Raw genomic sequence first — 17,871 nt, forward strand, 5'->3', positions numbered from 1 at the left:
CTTAGCAAATTTTAGCTCTTACCATTATCACTATTTATTATTGTTAAATGTACAGCACCATCGTAGGTGCAATGGGGGAATAAGAAAAGTAGGAGAACCAGATGGAAATTCCAGGTGCTTACTGCGCAGGTAAGGTATACAAGAATTACATCCACAAAACAGTTTGGTTTTAGCGGGATGCTGTAAGTTATGAAGGTTCCTGTCAAATGAGTGATGCACACTTCAGGCCCACAGGGGTTCAGGGAGGGGAGAAAAGAGCTGGGAAGGTAAGGTTGAGAAAGGGAAGGAAGAGGAAGGAGGAGAGTTGAAAGGAGGAGGAAAAGGCATGACAGAAGCAAGCCCAGAATGATTCAGCTAGACGAGGAAGGAGGATGGAACAATACCAGCTAAGAAAGGTGTGGGTCAGAAATGAGCATGGCATATTCTGGAGGTCTGCTGTGTGGTTGCAGTGCCTCAGGGTCATCATTTTGGAGATCAAACGTCCTTGCTAGGACTGTAACTGAAAAAGAAGCGGACAATTGGATCGAATGGATGCTGACCCCTGGGACTTCTCTAAATGGTATACAAAGCACAACACAATGAAAACCACAGCAAAATAATTTTAAAAGACTTAAAAAGGAAAAAGGGATTAAAAGAAAAAAGACTTTCCTGGTGATTTACCTTACCCTGCAATAAATACACAATCCTGATGAACCAATGTTCTCTGCAAATATGATCCTATTTAATTGAGACATTGATATATAATTTTACAAGGCTTATCAGCTATGGGAGAGAACAAGCCACACTTGTGCAAAGATCCCTGAAATGTCAGGGAGTGGGGCTATGAATAGAGAAATTCAAAATGCCATTTGAACTTTGCCTGTGGGTTGAGACCTTCTCAGGGTTCCCCAGGGAGGAAATGATAAGGAGTAGTGTGAGGTGAACAGACCTTGATTTCTGGCCTAGGCTTTGCTTGTTACCCTTGTACAGGGACTTCATACTTGTGAAGATGACCTTCTTATCTTTTCATGTCCTGCCTGTTGACCATCACAATTGATGATCAGCCTTCTTGCTTCCTATTTAGAATGAATGGATTGAGCCCTCAAGCAGAGTTTTAAGACTATAGATGTTCATTTAATGGAAGAACAGGTTGGGCCATGGAGATGCCCTAAAGTCTAAGGCTCTATGTTAAATAAACACCAGAAGAACCAATTCAGTACCTTGCAATATTTCTGTGTGACTGTGACTCCCTGTTGGAATTGAGGTTTTGATATGGTAGGTGGGCCCATGAAATTCATTGGACATGCTTGGAAATTCCTTCTGGTTAAAGTGAAGAAATAGAACCATCCTGGGTATTTCTTGAGGTACTGGGGCTGGGCACCTTGGCCAGGGACAATCATATCATAGGACCCCCTCTCTATCCTGGTTTTCCCTCTTTCCTCATGAATATTTCAGTCCTGGAGAGGCCCCTTGGGATGATCAGTTGAGTTAATGAAAGGTAGGAATGAGAGGAAAAGAGAAAGGGTAGCCGCATTGCTTTGCCTTGTGATGGGGACTGGGGAAAGAGATACTAGGGACTGATTTGCATATGAACCTGTGTTCTGTTTTTCCTGTCTTCTCTTCTGTAAAGCCCTGCTGGCTAGAGCCACCTCCTTGAGCCCCACTGGCTACCTCCCAGAGACACTATACAGTTGGCAGTGCCAACTTACCACCTATCTCCCCACACCACAGCAACAGCTTGGTCCCCAGCCATGGACATGGCTTTCTTTCTCCCCTAGGTCACCACAGGCTGATTTCCTACTCCTGACTTCAAACATCTGCTTCATCTCTTTGTCTCTCTTGTTCAAAGGGAATTGGTCAGAGACTCTTCCTTGGTCTCTACTCTGCCTCTTATTTATTTCCTGAACCAAGATTCTTGAGCCTGGAATAGAAAATTGTGTTCCAACTCCACAGTTTTCATAGAGACCCTAGTTTTGTCTGGGGGCTGTGTTTCAGAAGGGTCCAGGTGTATCAATTATGCTGCCCATGCCTGTATGCCATCTCTTCAATCACTTGTGTCCCCTTGTTTGTGAAGCACAACAGAGTGTGCTTTCAGAAAGAGTCTTTTGTATTCCTAGAGTCTAAAAATATTTGCATGTAAATGTTGGGAATCCAGACAGTCTCCTTAAGATCTGTGCTTCTCATGGGGAGGCACACAGACCATTGGGGTGCATTTGAAAATTAAATTTACACAAATTGCACCTTGGGTCCCTGCCCCATAGTGCTGTGCTAACATCTGAGAAGGAGAGAGTGTGACATTGATCAAGGCAAAGCATAAATAACCACATTTCAAAATGAATACAAATTGCATAATGACAGTTTCCAAACTATTAGCCTACTTTACAAAAAAAGTTAATTCAACACAAGCCCAGAACTGGCTGTTGCTTATGTGCTGTGCTGCCAGTTGGCAGGCACAGCTTTGCAAGGGGATTGGGGGAAATGAGGATTATTGTAGTGGAAGCACACTCGGCCTTTTGTGAGGAGGGTACAAATTGCATCACTCTCTCAAGCCCCTGCTGTTCAGCCGTTCAAGAGTGGACACCAGGATACTGCATGCCTTCAGGGGAAGTTGCTTACTTTTCCTAGAGGTAAAATGGCCCAGTGCCGAGGCTTGGGGAGGAGCCCTGAGTTTATAGCCCCTTGAAGGAAAAAGGTCTGGGCAGCTGGAGGTGATACGCACTGAGGAGCTACACCTGCAATGGTATGTGCTGCCCCTAGCTGGGCAGTCCTGGGCACCAAGGGAGGCCATGGCGATACAGAAGCTGGCCTTCTCTGGGATGAACTCTGCATGCTATCTTGGGCAGACCATTCCGCTGCTCTGGGCCTGTGTCTCCTCATCTGTAAAATGAAGAGAGTGCACTGGATGGCTGTGAAAACCCCCTTCCGCTCGAAAAGAATGCCATGGTCTCTTCCTTTAAATTGCACGTCCCCTAGAAAGAGAAAGGCCCATTGCTTGGAAGAGTGGCATGAAATGATGGTATTGGTTCCTTGTGGTCGCCATACTTTTACTGCAGGACTCAGGAATGTTTGTTTCATTTGCAAAGGAACATGAGAAAGTGCCTGCTAGGAAAAAGGAGGTGTCTGGGGCAAAGGGTTCATTCTCTTTGGGTCACCCTACTGCCTTGACTAATTGGAAGGGAGCATTAGGAAAGTCCCAGATGAATTCCCCCAATTTCATGCAGCATTCTCAGAAAGACGAGTGTGTGATGAGGGTTATGCTATGATATGTACTGCCTCCAGAGAGCCTCCACTCAAGGTTTGAGAGCCCTGCTCCAGGATCTATGCACCACTTTGTACTAACTCCCCTACTTCCATCAGTAGGAGTCCCTGGGGTACAGAAATTTGAATTAGACAAAGTTGGATTTACCAATTAGGAAATTCAGTAAAGGACTCAATTTTTATTTAATCATTTATTTTTAGAGACAAGGTCTTGCTGTGTTGCCCAGGCTGGAGTGCAATGGTGTAATCATAGCTCGTTGCAGCCTCAAACTCTTGAGCTCAACCCATCCCCCTGCCCCAACCTTCCAAGTAGCTGGGACTACTGGATAAATTTTTTAAAAAAATTGTAGAAACAGAGTCTTGCTATGTTGCCCAGGAGGGTCTCAAGCACTTGGCCTCAAGCGATCCTCCGGCCTCAGCTTCCCAAAGTGTTGAAATTATAGACGTGAGTTGCTGCATCTGGCCAGGACTCTATTCAAGCACCATATTTTACCTTCAGGTTTTCAACAATTCCTAGAGCTACCAGCTCCAAATGATTGGGTAGAAAAACAGTACATCCATACATGCTCAGCACATGCCCAATTTTAAATATAACACCCCATGATCAAAATTCGGGCAAATGTCTGTTCTTTTGAAAAAAAGTCAAACCACTCTGTTCTTCTATTTTGTATATATTTACAGTAATTTCTCTCTTTGTTTAAGAAGTCACCTTTCACACCTATCTCAAGGGAGACCCTTGTATTCTCAGCTAAAGAATTATTTCTAGTCCCTTCTTTCTTTGCCCCTTTTTTCTAAGTACTTGTAGTCCAAGTAATGGCTTAGAATTTTGATTCTCAGGCACTTCCAAGTTATACCTCTAAGTTCTGATGACATCTATTTGAAACAAGATCCAAGTTATATAAATCTAGTTTTATTCAAAGAGGCTTCTTGTCCCCCTAAATAGCTCACCTTCTCCCTGCTTAATTTGACCATAAAAATTACTGTTGTGAAAGCTCCTTGGCATATGTTCTTCAATGTGAAACAATTTTAGAAAGCAATAGCATATCCAGAATTATTAGAGTACTGCACAATGCTGAAGCTCCTGCACCCCTCCTGAGATCACATTCATAACTTTTCAGCTAAAACTAACTTCTGCAAAGACCATCTATGAAAGGTAAATGTTATTTGCTGAGAGCTAATTTCTAAAGGCTTTTTATAAATTAATTTCCTTATATTACAATAATTCTTATCCATGTCTTAGGGAATTGGAAACACGCTTTAAGAGAAATGCTGTTTAGAAGCCAGGCGCAGTGGCTCGCACCTCTAATCCCCAAACATTGGGAGGCTAAAGTGGAAAGATTGCTTGATGCCAGGAGTTTGAGACCAGCCTGGGCAACAGAGTGCAACCTTGTCTTGACAAAAACAAACAAACAAAACAAAACAAAACAAAAAACAAATTAGCCTGGTGTGGTGACACGCGTTTGTAGTCCTAGCTACAGAGCGAGACCCTGTCCCTAAAAAGAGAGAGAGAGAGACATGCTTTTTCTGAGATTATTGTAGAAGACCTCCTCCTTTTAAAGCCTAGACTGAGAGGAAGGTTGTTTTTTGTTTTTGTTTTGTTTTGTTTTGGTGTTTATTTTTCTGTTGTTGTTTTTTGAGCCAGGGTCTGGCTCTGTCGCCCAAGCTGGAGTAAAGTGGTTCGATCATAGCTCACTGCAGCCTCAACCTCACAGGCTCAAGTGATCCTCCCACATCAACCTCCTGAGTAGGTGGGACTATAGGCATGTGCCAACATACCCAATTACATTTTTAAAATTTTTTGTAAAGATGGGATCTCACTATGTTATAGAGGCTGGTCTCTAACTGCTGGGCTCAAGTGATCCTCTCACCTTGTCTTCCCAAAGTGCTAGGATTGCAGGTGTGAGCCACCGCGCCTGGCCAAGAGGAAGTATTTATCTGCAGGAATGTTTTGCATATTTCCTGTCCCCATCCCACTATCCCTCCTTAAATCATCTGGAACCTGGAAGAAGTAGATATGACTTGAAAATAATATAAATGTCTCTTGAAGACTCTATTCATGTATGCAAAAGAATATTTGTATTTTTGCTTCTTCCAGGCTGCCTGAGATGAAAAAAAATGCTCTATGTTTGTGTGTGTCCAATTGGTTATGAATTAACTGTGGGATTCGTGTGCTGGATGCTGTTTGGCTTTGAGTCTCAGGGTGGCAAGGCTGGATGGGGTATTGGCACCTTTATTTGTACAGACCCTGTAGCTCCAAGAGGACTTAAAGCATTGAGAAACTAGATGTTAACAAAAGGGAAACAATGGGAAACAAGAAAGGCTGAGTTTCAAAATCACCCGGTGAGGTTGGCAATGGGCATCACAGATGCATTCCTGGATGTTTCTCACTCCCATCAGAGACTGGGACTCTTGGGGAGGTAATGACCTCCTTGCTGCAGAAATCTTAGATATAATCTAATCTAAGACTCTAACTGCTTTGCTAATGCTTGACATCCTTATGTGTGAAGGGAGAGAAGAAAGGAATAAAAAGTATCAGGCGGACCCGGTGTGGTGGCTCACGCCTGTAATCCCAGCACTTTGGGAGGCCGAGGGGGAGTGGATCACCTGAGGTCAGGAGTTCGAGACCAGCCTGGCCAAAGTGGTCAAAGCCCGTCTATACTAAAAATACAAAAAATTAGCCAGGCATGGTGGCAGGCGCCTGTAGTCCCAGCTATTCGGGAGGATGAGGCAGGAGAATCACTTGAGCCCGGGAGGCGAAAGTTGCAGTGAGCCGAGGTCTCTCCACGGCACTCCAGCCTGGGCAACAACAGCGAAACTCTGTCTTAAAAAAAAAAAGTATCAGGCAACACTGCAAAAAAAAGTATGCTTTTCTGAGAAAACAGAGCTGCCCTTCAAACTGGGAGCATGTAACTGCTGTGAAACTTGTCTTTGATAACCCCCTCAAGCCCGCCTCCTGTGAGAAGAAATTCTGGTATAACTATGACACCCTTATCTGAAGCCATTGTTATCATTTCATAGCATAAAATGTGTTCATAAAATTACTGCAAATGGCTAGAAATTGCTCAAAAGTAAAGGCTCTACGAAAAAGTTAAATGTTTAAAAAATAGTGGGCTTGGCCTCCTCCCACTCCCCCATTTTGGTTTTTGTTGCTTCCTACCGAGGCAGATTTGCATAAAGACTGCAGACATAGCAAAGGTCTGACCACTTCTTTTCAGTGAGTGATTATTCTGGAACACTGCTCAGGGACCATCTCTTGCTTTGAACTAAACCAAAAGGTTCCCTTTCAATTTAATTGGCAGGAACCAAGATTCTCTCAAAGATGTTGAAGGTGAAAAACACACTGGAAGGTGTGACTGCCCACTTCTTAGCTGGGGAAGCTACAGTAATAGGTTCTCCTGGCCTAATGGTGGAGAAAAGACAGAGCACCTCTTTCTGGTCTTGATGGAGCCCCTTCTTGTGTCTCCTTTGAAGTTGCAGAACCTCTGGGCCAGAATAGTTCCTATTCCTCTGTCTCCTCCACAAAGCAGAGGGCAGGCTGGGTGTAGTGGCTCACACCTGTAATCCCAGCACTTTGGGAGGCTGGAGGCAGGAGGATCGCTCAAGAACAGGAGTTTGAGACCAGCCTGGGCACTGCAATGAGACCCCTATCTCTACAAAATATACAACAGAAACTAGCTAGGCTTGGTGGTGCACCTGTAGTCCCAGCTACTCAGGAGGCTGAGGCAGGAGGATCGCTTGAGCCTAGGAGTTCGAGGGTGCAATGAGCTATGATCATGTAATTGCACTCCAGGCTGGGCGACAGAGACCTGTCTCAAAAGAAAAAAAAAAGGGGGCAGGGAGCAGAATTTGGAGAGTACTAGATGCACATTTGGCTGCCCCGTTCCCTCAGGGCTCTGTGAGTAGCGTCTTAGTAAGTTTCTCTTAGAGTCCATGATTTAGCCTGAGCTCCTTAGCATGAATGGAACGTGGCCCTCCCTGGAAACGCACTGTTCTCTTACTAGACTCCCATCCTGCACATTTATATGCTCCCAATGGGGCAGGGTAGAGGGGTGAGGATGGGGTGGGGGGAGGTGTGGAGGGAAAATGGGTGGGTCAATGTAAACCCATCATGGGCACTTGGCAAACTGTGATGTGCAGGACATATTGATGGTGACTCAGGGATATTACCTGATGAGAAGAGGTCTCTTCACCATTCTATTCAAATTGCATTCCCTTAGCAATTCCCATCCATATTCTACTGACCCCATTTGGCATACAAAACCAACGTACTATTAAGTCACATCTTTATTGAAAATACTACAATTATGTGGCCTACAAAAATAACAGGGCATTCGTTAACTTTGTTCACCTACCCACTTCATTTAACAAGCATCTAACGAATTACTTGATGCTGTGCTGTGCACAATTTCTATCTGGCAGGAAAGAACTTTGGAAAAACTGTTATGAATACCTTACTTTAGAAAAAGGGACATGCATAATAACTGTTGATGACAGGGGCCCATGTGATGTGTACAGGAGCCAGGCCAGTGTGAGGCACATGTGACCTGGGTGGCAGAGGCGCCATGGGCGGCCCGGGTGGCAGAGGCGCCATGGGCGGCCCGGGTGGCAGAGGCGCCATGGGCGGCCCGGGTGGCAGAGGCGCCATGGGCGGCCCGGGTGGCACACGCGCCATGGGCGGCCCGGGTGGCACACGCGCCATGGGCGGCCCGGGTGGCACAGGCGCCATGGGCGGCCCGGTTGGCACAGGCGCCATGGGCGGCCAGGGTGGCACAGGCGCCATGGGCGGCCAGGGTGGCACAGGCGCCATGCGTGGCCCGGGTGGCACAGGCGCCATGCGTGAGCCGGGTGGCACAGGCGCCATGGGTGGCATAGGTGCTATGGGTGGCCTGGGTGGCATAGGGACCATGGGTGGCCTGGGTGGCATAGGTGGCACAGGCAGCACAGGTGGTCTAGGTAGTTGTGGCACCAGATGAACACACAAAGCAGGATCCAGAGCAGGAGCAGCATAATAGGCCCCACCCAAGAACATGTCCAAAGGGTGGGCCAGGTCAGCAGTAGCAGTGTTTCTCAACATTAGCACCCTCTGATTTCGTTTCCACTTGGCTCTTCTGTTCTGAAACCAAACCTTCAGAGGGGAAAAATGAATTGGTTTAGTATTTTGAACAGTTAACGTCATAATAGAAAAAAACATAACATGGAATTCTATATGCCACTGAGACTTTAAACTGCAACAGGTGAAGCTATTTTCTTATTGCTGAAATATCTTAGAGGAGTGAGGGAGGGGCTCAGATGTGCTAGTGGTCACCCCTGCCTAAACATAACCAAAGCCAACAGATGGCAAATTTTGGTATGGGCCCATATTGGGTCTGCATTCTCAATACTGATTTCATAAAATAAGTCTACTATATTTGCAAAGAAAAGGAGGGGAGTGTCTATTAAAAGTGTCTTTGGGGGATATTCATGCTATAGAATTTGGAAATAGATGAGAACACTGTCATTTTTCCTTCTTTGTATTTTCTGGCTCTTTCTTCCTTCCTTCATAAATCCATTGAGAGGCCTATGCAAACCCTGGGAGGGAAAAAAGCAGCTCAGCAAACCTTTCTTCTTTTCCTCTGAGTTTACCTTGCTTCCCTGAGAAGGCAGAGGATACGTCATCCCAACCTGAGGCTATGGGCCCCTGGCATCAGGACTCCAGCATTCAGTGGTCTACTTTGTTGGGCTGCTTTTCCAGACATCACACCCACAGGCGTGCAGTGCAGTTCCATCACTACACTCACACACACACCCTGAGGCAAAGCTAATAAGCCCATTCTAACTTTTATTTATTTATTTTTTTGCAAATACTTCCTTGATGCAGCTATGGTCTTCTGTAATTTCAAACAGTCACCTTTTGATCCCATGACCTGCAAAATTAGTCATAACTGCCTGAGTAAATGAAAAGGTATTTTAAATCAACACAGGTAAGAATCTTGCCTGAACTGAGAGAACCCCCTAATCAATCAAATTCCAGAAAACCCACCTTTTCAAAATAATATCACCAAAAAGAATAAAACATCTAAGATGTTTTTTCTAAGGTGTTTACAAAAAAGCGAACATTCTCTTATGCATTTGGTAGTTTCATAAAGTTGAATTTGTGTGACATCTGCAATGCATGTGTTTGACTGTATACAATTCTTCTCTAATCTTTCCACCCTTCTTAGGTAAGGGAATTTTATTCAAATTCTTCTTTCTTTTTTTGTTTCATTTTTTAAAGACAGTTTTCCAAAGCTTACAAATGTTTTCCCCATTACCACTTAATTGAAATATGTTAGCAATGTTTTCAGGCTGACATCAAAATCTTCCCAAAAAATTAAAATTTAGGGCTGCCACTCCCTACTTTAGTACTGTGTTCTGTGTGTGAATTACTCCTTCACTCCAATGCCTAAATATAAATTCACTCATTTAGCTAAGTGCTTGTGCTAGGTTTTAAATATTTTAAATAATTTAGTACAGTGAACCTTCTTATAAAACTGAGCTATTCTGTGCATTAATTTGAATACTTCCGAGGTGAGACTGAGCCCCGAACATGACTCCATATAGAAGTAATCCTTTAGGGAAAACTAACATTCTCCCTAGAGGATACCAGTGTTAGAAGAAGGTTAATCTTATTTATTGGGATATATGTATGTATGTATGTGTATACATGTGCATATATGTGTACGTAAATGTGTATATGTACATATACATGTGCATACACTATATGGAGAGAAAGACAGATACAGATATAGAAGGAAGATGAAAACACATCTTTTTTTCCTTTAGGAAATCATATTTCCTCTGTTTATGAGCAATTTCCATAATCTGAAGTTTACACATCCTATTTTCTACCACTAAAGCCCCTACTGTTCAAAACTTATTTGTCAACCATGGAAAAGACAACAGAAAACACCAGCTTGAGAATGTCCAGGACAAAACCTAAAGCATGCTTTAGAATGGCTGTCCTGCCAAATTGCTTTTTCAAGATTTACTGACCTGCACTCTGTCTTCAGTCAAATTCAGGCGTGCTGCAAGTCTCTCTCTTAGGGGAGAAAATTACAAATATTCAGTATTTGGAGTTGTGGATAAAATGCAATAATATGAACGTGGCTCGGCTCAGCACTTTGGGAGGCCGAAGAGGTTGCTGAGGTCAGGAGTTGGAGACAAGCCTGGCCAGCATGGTGAAACCCTGTCTCTACTAAAAATACAAAAATTAGCCGGGCATGGTGGCACATGCCTGTAATCCCAGCTACTCGGGAGGCTGAGGCAGGAAAATCGTTTGAACCCGGGAGGTGGAGGCTGCAGCGAGAAGAGATCGCGCCACCGCTCTCCAGCCTGGGCGACAGAGTGAGTCTCAAAAAAAAAACATATATATATATATATATGAATGTACATTATTTCTCTCCCCCACCTCCCAGTGCAGTTTTCTGTAATACGGTTGGGACTCGCTTTAGGGAGGTTTTTCCCATTAACAACTTCGCTGTTAAATAAGATAGAAAAAGGAAACATATGTAAAAGCGCCCGATGGTTTGTTAGCTGAATATGACTCAATTCTTCTGTTTGTGAAACAGCAGAGAACAACCCTGGAAATCTTTCCTTGGGAAGTCCGTCCGTGAAAAAAAAAACAAAAAAAAATTAAATGCCAAAACACCTTTAAAGCGCTGTATTGAACCACAGTATTTCTGTTTATCGTAAAAAGGAGAGGTGAACTCTCAGGGAGGGAACTCCAAACCACATCGGCCAAGCGCGCCCTAGGGAAATTCTTTTTTGCTCTTTGCCGGGCGAAGGCTAAGTACAACGAAGCCAGAAAGGTCCCCTTAACCCTACTCTGACCTGTCCAGGTGCCCCCCGCCCCCCATTCCAGCCTGGCCAGAAAAGGCCTGCCCCTTCGTACACTACGGGTCGGTATGAGGAGGGCTCCGATGAGGCTAGCGAAGGAAAGGGGTCGCTGGCTACCGAAAGCTCAAAAGTCCGCCCCCTGGTTGTAAAAGTGCGCTCCACGTGGCAGGGCGGTTACTAGGGCGAAAAGAGTGAGGCGCTCGCCACGCGCGCACAATGTAAATGGCGCTAAAAAACTCGATAATCAAGACAAATAATATTTTAATGCAATATTAAAACGTATCAAAATTAATGCAAAAACAACCCATGGTGAGCAAATTGCCAAAATTTTAAATAAAGGCGGGATCCCACCCTGCCTCACTCGCTTTACCCTAGTCCCGCCCCAGTCTTTTACATCCTCCGCGCCCCGCCCACCACGTCCCCCAAAAACCAAGGGCGGAGGCAGCGCCCGTGAGCCCCCTACGTGGCTTTTAGCTCCGGTGAAAGGGTCCCGGGATGAACTGGGCGCCTCCGGGGCAAGCCACTTACCGCGCCACAACGTCGGGATATTGAGATTCATCGAAAAAGTTCTCTAGCTCCTGCAGCTGAAACTGCGTGAACGCGGTGCGGCGGCGGCGTTTCCTCTCTGGGGGCTGTGGTCCCTCAGCGGTTTGTGGCCCCTCCGCCGGCTGTGGCCCCTCCACGGTCGTCTGGGGCGGCTCCTCCTGCTCTTGCTTCAGCTCGAGCAGGGGCGGCTCCTCCTGCTGTTGCTCCGGCTTGGTCAGGGGCGGCTCCTCCTGCTGTTGCTCCGGCTCGTGGCCGCCGCCACCCTCACGGTCTTGGTCGTCCGAGGGGACGGACCCTTCCGTGCCAACGTTGTTTTCCGCTTCTGTTCCGTACTCAGGTTTGGACCGTGTATTCTCCTCGTCCTCTCCTCCCCTTGCCATCAGCGAGGTCACGGTAAGTTTCTCATCTGGGAAGGGAGGAAAGCAAAAGAGACACCAGGGCGTTGGAGCCCACGGCGCGTGGGCTGGAGGAGGCAGGGGACCCGCTATGGAAGAGCAACTGCGACAGCCGCGCAGCGTCTCCTCCGCTTGCCTCTCCCAGGGAAAAATTCCTCTTTTGGAGTTCGCGAAAGCTCCCGTCCCTGTCCAAGCACTAACCATTCACTTCCTCGATGTCCTCGCCGACTGCCAGGCTGCGGTAGCCAATATCACTGTGGGTGTACCCGCGAAGAGACTCCATGCTTCAAGCGCTGTCGATAAAGCTGTGCACTTCTGCAGACTCTGTGCGTGGTTCCGCGGCGATCCCGGGGTTGGAACTGGCTCTGGGACCAATGGCTCGGGCGAGCGCTTTTCTGGCGCCGGGACCTCTTTCTGGCGCCGTCTGGCACTTGCGCGCCCTATATAGCGGTACGGTGCCTTCCGCAGGTTCAAAGCGTATGCACACGCGTCGGTTAAACGCCCCCTATTAGCATTCACAGTACATCTAGTTGTGAGTGCGACCCCCGGGGGACGCATTCGTGTCCAGGGCGTACGAAAAATAGGGCGAGCGTGCGCAAGCATGGTGCAGGTAGTGAACATGCTTTGCGGGGAACAGTGGCCCCAAATTGCTGCTTAACTAACTACTCCCAACTTGAGCAGAGACCCAGATTGGAAAAAGCGGCTGGGTTGTGAAAGCCGATTTGGGGGCGAGGAGACGAGGGGGCGAGGGGGCGAGGGGGCGAGGGGGCGGGGTGAGACCTCGCACCAGCCCGTGGAGAGGTATTTTGGCAGTGTTCCTCCGCCCAACCGTCTTTACCCCGCAGCACTTGGGTGGAGCGATGCCCTTTGCTTCCCCCACGGAAAAGACCGAGAGATGGCGTTGAGGAAAGCGCGGAAAGTTCAGCAGCCCAAACATGCGAAAGTGAACTTGTTAGTCTACCATGCAATTGGGTTCTGAGCACGACTCTCCCCTGCTAGAAATTAGTGACAAATGGATAGGACTATCTAGTTCTGTACAGTTCGCGCCAAAGTCAGGATAGTGATAAGGTGCAATGATTGGCTAGAAGGCTGCTTGCTCTGGATTTTTGAATTCAGAACCCACCGTGCATTCCGGGAGCGGGAATTTGGGGCTGAATTTGAAGAGCAGTCCGCTGCTCAGGTGCACGCTGCAAGAAACCCAACGTGCTTTTTGAGAAAGCTCCAAGGACTTAAGCTTTTTAGTAATGAACTTATGTCAGAGTGCAAGTATAGAAATCTGCTAAGTGCATAGTGCATCCAAGAATGCTTACACTACGGGGGCCCCGTCTTTTGATGCGCGGCACTTGAAACGTCTGCTGTACTAGGTTCCTGCGCTTCTTATTGCAGCGCGCTTTGCAGAAGCCCGTTCTGCAGGCTCCTAAAGCGCGCGTATTCCCCGGGTTTGTGCTGTGGACCTGGGAGAGTTCCCGCCTTCCCCACTACCCCTTCTTCCTCCTCCCCCTCCCTTTTTCTAGAACTATCTTCCTGAATTCTTGCTCCATAGTGATGTATCACATTAAAAGTCCTGGGCTATGATTGAAGGCTGTATGGTTCTCCCTCCAATAAGTGTTTGCAGGTTCTCCAGGACGTGTTAATATCCGTAATATTATAAAAATAACTCTGTAGACTTAGTTACTAGGGAGGCTGAGGTGGGAGGATCGCTTGAGTCCGGGAGGTCAAGGCTGCAGTGAGCCATGATCAGGATACTGCACTCCAGCCTGGACGACAGTAGACCCTGTCTCAAAAAATAAAAAAATTAAAAAAATTTTTAAAAGCCTGCTAATAATTGGCCCTATGCTTGCCACTGTACACGATTTATCTTACTTTCGCCTTGATAACCACCATTATCATCCCCCCCCCTTTTTTTTTTTTTGAGACGGAGTCTCGCTCTGTCGCCCAGGCTGGAGTGCAGTGGCGCGATCTCGGCTCACTGCAAGCTCTGCCTCCCGGGTTCACGCCATTCTCCTGCCTCAGCCTCCCGAGTAGCTGGGACGACAGGCGTCCGCCACCGCGCCCGGCTAATTTTTTGTATTTTTAGTAGAGACGGGGTTTCACCGTGGTCTCGATCTCCTGACCTCGTGATCTGCCCGCCTTGGCCTCCCAAAGTGCTGGGATTACAGGCGTGAGCCACCGCGCCCGGCCTATCATCCCCCATTTTTTAAAAAAAATACAGAAGACTGGGGCCCAAAGAGCCAGGCAACTTGCCAATGGCAATACAAGCCAGTTTTAACTACAAAATGTGTGCATTTTTCACTATATTACGGCTGTCTTAATTCAAAGGAGTAAATAATAGTGGGATTTCAGGTAAGAGTAGAAGGAGGTGGCATTTGGGGGAGGCATAGTCTTTACAATTCCTGGGTGTGAGGGGTCTCCTCCTTCTCTTGCACACTAATTCAGGCCTCTTCCCCTTGCTTCAGGGCCTCAGCTGGATGTCCTTAAACCACAGGGTTGGGATCCAGCACTGCTGGGTTCCCGCAGCCCACCACTTCACGTTTGCTCAATACGGAGAGGATATTAACGGGCAGGATGCTGCATGCACTAGTTGCTGAGCTGGTGTCTGGAAGACCTGCTCAGGAGGCAGAGGTCATGAGGCTCACCCTCACTCTCACCCTCATGTCAGGGCCACATTATGACTTTCGTGGGCCCTAGGCATTTTTGCCTTCCTGGGCCCCTTCCTCCATTAAGAAAAAAAATATATATTTTACAGCTGTGTTGGTATAAGGATGAATATAATTTGGGATGGATTATATTAATTTTTTCTTATGATTTGAAAAGAAATTAAGACCTTTTCTTTTCTTTCTTTTCCTGAGATGGAGTCTCCGTCTGTCGCCCAGGCTGGAGTGCAGTGATGCCCTCAGGGCTTACGGCAGCTTTTATCTCCCACGCTCAAGTGATCCTCCCAAATAGCTGGTACTACAGGCTCGCGGGACACTGCTCTCTGCAAATTTTTTTGTTGTTGTTTTTAGTAGAGACGAGGTCTCTCTATGTAGTTCCAGCTGGTCTCTAACGCCTGGGCTCAAGCGGTCCTGCCTCCTCAGCCTCCCAAAGTGCTGGGATTACAGGCGTGAGCCACCGTGCCCAGTCAGTTAAGACATTTTCACAGGCCCCTAAAAGTGCGGTGGGCCTAGGGCACTTCGACTACAGTGCCTAATGAATAAGTCCTCCTGCCTCGTATTCACTTGCAAAAAGATTTCAAGGGTTACAACCCCACAGCCTTTCTGATTTTAAGCAAGACATTTCCTCCTAAGGCTGGCTCCTGCTGAGTCTGCAGGCCTTCTTCTCTTTGGGCTCCATACCCGGCGAACAATTTTTCCCTGGGATGTTATATCACACAAGAAATCCATACAGGGTTTAATCAAGGTGTGAAGTAGCCTACCTAGTATATTGGCAACAGTATGGGTGTGTTCTGTCACATCTTAGATTTCCACGGTTTACCAATGTTTTCTAAACCTCAGTCGTTCATGTGTCCCTTTGCAAGTTTTGCCATATCTGGGTACCAGAGAGGACGGTATTTACTTAACACCCTTACTTAAATTGATTTACTTTTTGAAAACCTTAAATACCTAATTAAATCTCATCCTAGGCAAAAATAGCTACGAATTCAAGATTTATGAATGCCAGATTTATGTATACCAGATTTATGTCAAGCACAGCAATAGTTGAGAAATAGGGACCCTGAAGCCAGACTGCTGGCTTTGCTTGCCACTTGTTAAATAACTAACTTGGTGAGTTGCATAATCTCCTTGTGCCTTGGTTTTCTCATCTGTAAAATGGAAATAATGAAAAACACCTACTTCATGGAATTGTTGTGAGGATTAATTGAAATGATAATAGCTAACACTTAGCTAATTCTTACTATTCAATATATACTGTTAATATATACAAAGGGCTGTTCAAAGTAAGATTAAATATTAACACATTTAACCCTCATAACCCTATGGAGGTAAATACTCTAATCCGCATTTTACAGATGATGTTACTGAGTCACAGAGAGGTTAATTTACCTAAAGGCATGCAGCTTGTATGTATTGGACCTTGGATTTGAGCCTAGCTTCTTAGAATGATGCTTTGTAGAGAGAACATGCTGTGGAATGGTAACTATTATGATTTTTAAAAATTAAGTGTGCTATTCAGTGATTTCTAGTATAGTCACAATGCTGTACAACCATCACAATTATCTAATTTCCGAACATTTTCAACACCTTATGAAGGAAGCCTGTAAAACCAATAGCAGTCATTCCTCATTCTCTCCCTCTCTGTAGGCCCTGGTAACCAGTAATGTACTAGTTCTATGGATTTTCCTATTCTGGATATTTCATGTAAATGGAATCATACAGTATGTGTCCAATTATGTCTGGCTTCTTTCACTTAGCATAGTGTTTTTGAGGTTCATTCATATTGTAGCATGTGTCAGCACTTCACTCCTTTTTATGGCTGAATAAAAATCCATTGTATAAGCTGTACCACATTTTGGTTATAGATCCATCAACTGATGGGCATTTGTGTTGTTTTCACCTTTTGGTGATTGTGAGTAGTGCTGCTCTGAGCATTTACATACAAGTTTTGTTTGAATATCTGTTTTTCAATCTTTGGGGCATATACCTAGGAGCAGAAGGGCCGAATCATACCGAAATTCTATGTTGAAATTTCTGAGGAAATACCACATTGTTTTCCACAGCAGCTGTACCATTTTATGTTCCCACCAGCAGTACAGGAGATTTACAATTTCTTCACATCCTTGCCAACACTTATTTTCCAGGTTTTGTTTTTATTAAATCCATCCTAGTAGGTACGAAGTGGTGTCTCATTATTGTTTTGATTTGCATTATTCTAATGACTAATGATATTGAGCTATTGAGCTTTTTTTTTTTTTTTTTTTGAGACACTCTTGTCGTCCAGGCTGGAGAGCAGTGGCGCGATCTCAGCTCACTGCAACTTCCGCCTCCCGGGTTCAAGCAATTCTCCTGCCTCAGCCTCCCAAGTAGATGGGACTACAGGCGTCCACCATCACGCCCAGCTCATTTTTGTATTTTTAGTAGAGACGAGGTTTCACCATGTTGGCCAGGCTGGTCTTGAACTCCTGACCTCAGGTGATCTGCCCGCCTTGGCTTCCCAAAGTGTTGAGATTACAGGTGTGAACCACTGCGCCCAGCCTATTGGCTATTTTTATATCTGAAGTTGCTGTCCCATACAGAGGCTCAGGGTGCCCTAAGTGTGGCTTTGGCACTACCACACCGAGATGGCACACCTGCCTGCTTTCCCCTGGCTGAGGGCTAGCTGGCTCATGCAGGCTCTGATGCTTTACAGTAGGGACGTGATCTTGAAAATGAAATTTAATGTTAAACTACTCCACTTATGAGAATTCCTTCTGCCAGGCAATATCCTCTTTGTAAAGGAACTAATGACAGACCAGAGATCTTTTTTTTTTTTTTTTTTTAAAGACGGAATCTTGCTCTGTTGCCCAGGCTGGAGTGCAAGTGGTGCGATCTCGGCTCACTGTAACCTCCACCTCCCGGGTTCAAGCGATTCTTCTGCCTCAGTCTCCCGAGTAGCTGGGACTACAGGCGCGCACCACCACACCCGGCTAATTTTTGTATTTTTAGTAGAGATGAGGTTTCACCATATTGGCCAGGCTGTTCTCGAACTCCTGACCTCGTGATCTGCCCGCTTAGGCCTCCAAAAGTGCCAGGATTACAGGTGTGAGCCACTGAGCCTGGCCCCAGACCAGAGGTCTTTATTCTGGCCTGTAAACTGAGGCAATCTCTAGATGGTTTCTAGAGAACCTTACAGTCAAGAGAAC

The 17,871-nt window shown here is 46.1% G+C and overlaps 1 protein-coding gene across 1 annotated transcript, besides 2 other annotated features; it reads right to left on the bottom strand.

Moving 5' to 3' along the window:
• ESX1 (ESX homeobox 1) lies at nucleotides 7,504–12,399 on the bottom strand. The gene is made up of 4 exons (NM_153448.4): nucleotides 12,234–12,399; nucleotides 11,620–12,043; nucleotides 10,249–10,294; nucleotides 7,504–8,362 (listed from the first exon to the last, which is right to left on the bottom strand). Exons 1-4 carry the CDS (start codon nucleotides 12,313–12,315, stop codon nucleotides 7,694–7,696), a joined length of 1,221 nt encoding a protein of 406 aa, NP_703149.1. The 5' UTR covers nucleotides 12,316–12,399; the 3' UTR covers nucleotides 7,504–7,693.
• Nucleotides 11,029–11,844: an enhancer, noted in NCBI's record as "H3K4me1 hESC enhancer chrX:103498244-103499059 (GRCh37/hg19 assembly coordinates)". NCBI's record gives its function as "activates a minimal SCP1, AML or CMV promoter by ChIP-STARR-seq in naive H9 embryonic stem cells {active_cell/tissue: H9 hESC(naive)}" and the evidence as "EXISTENCE:reporter gene assay evidence [ECO:0000049][PMID:30033119]".
• Nucleotides 14,803–15,594: an enhancer, noted in NCBI's record as "OCT4-NANOG hESC enhancer chrX:103502018-103502809 (GRCh37/hg19 assembly coordinates)". NCBI's record gives its function as "activates a minimal SCP1, AML or CMV promoter by ChIP-STARR-seq in naive and primed H9 embryonic stem cells {active_cell/tissue: H9 hESC(naive and primed)}" and the evidence as "EXISTENCE:reporter gene assay evidence [ECO:0000049][PMID:30033119]".

This window comes from Homo sapiens, chromosome X, assembly GCF_000001405.40.
Source record: "Homo sapiens chromosome X, GRCh38.p14 Primary Assembly".
NCBI classification, from domain to species: Eukaryota; Metazoa; Chordata; class Mammalia; order Primates; family Hominidae; genus Homo; species Homo sapiens.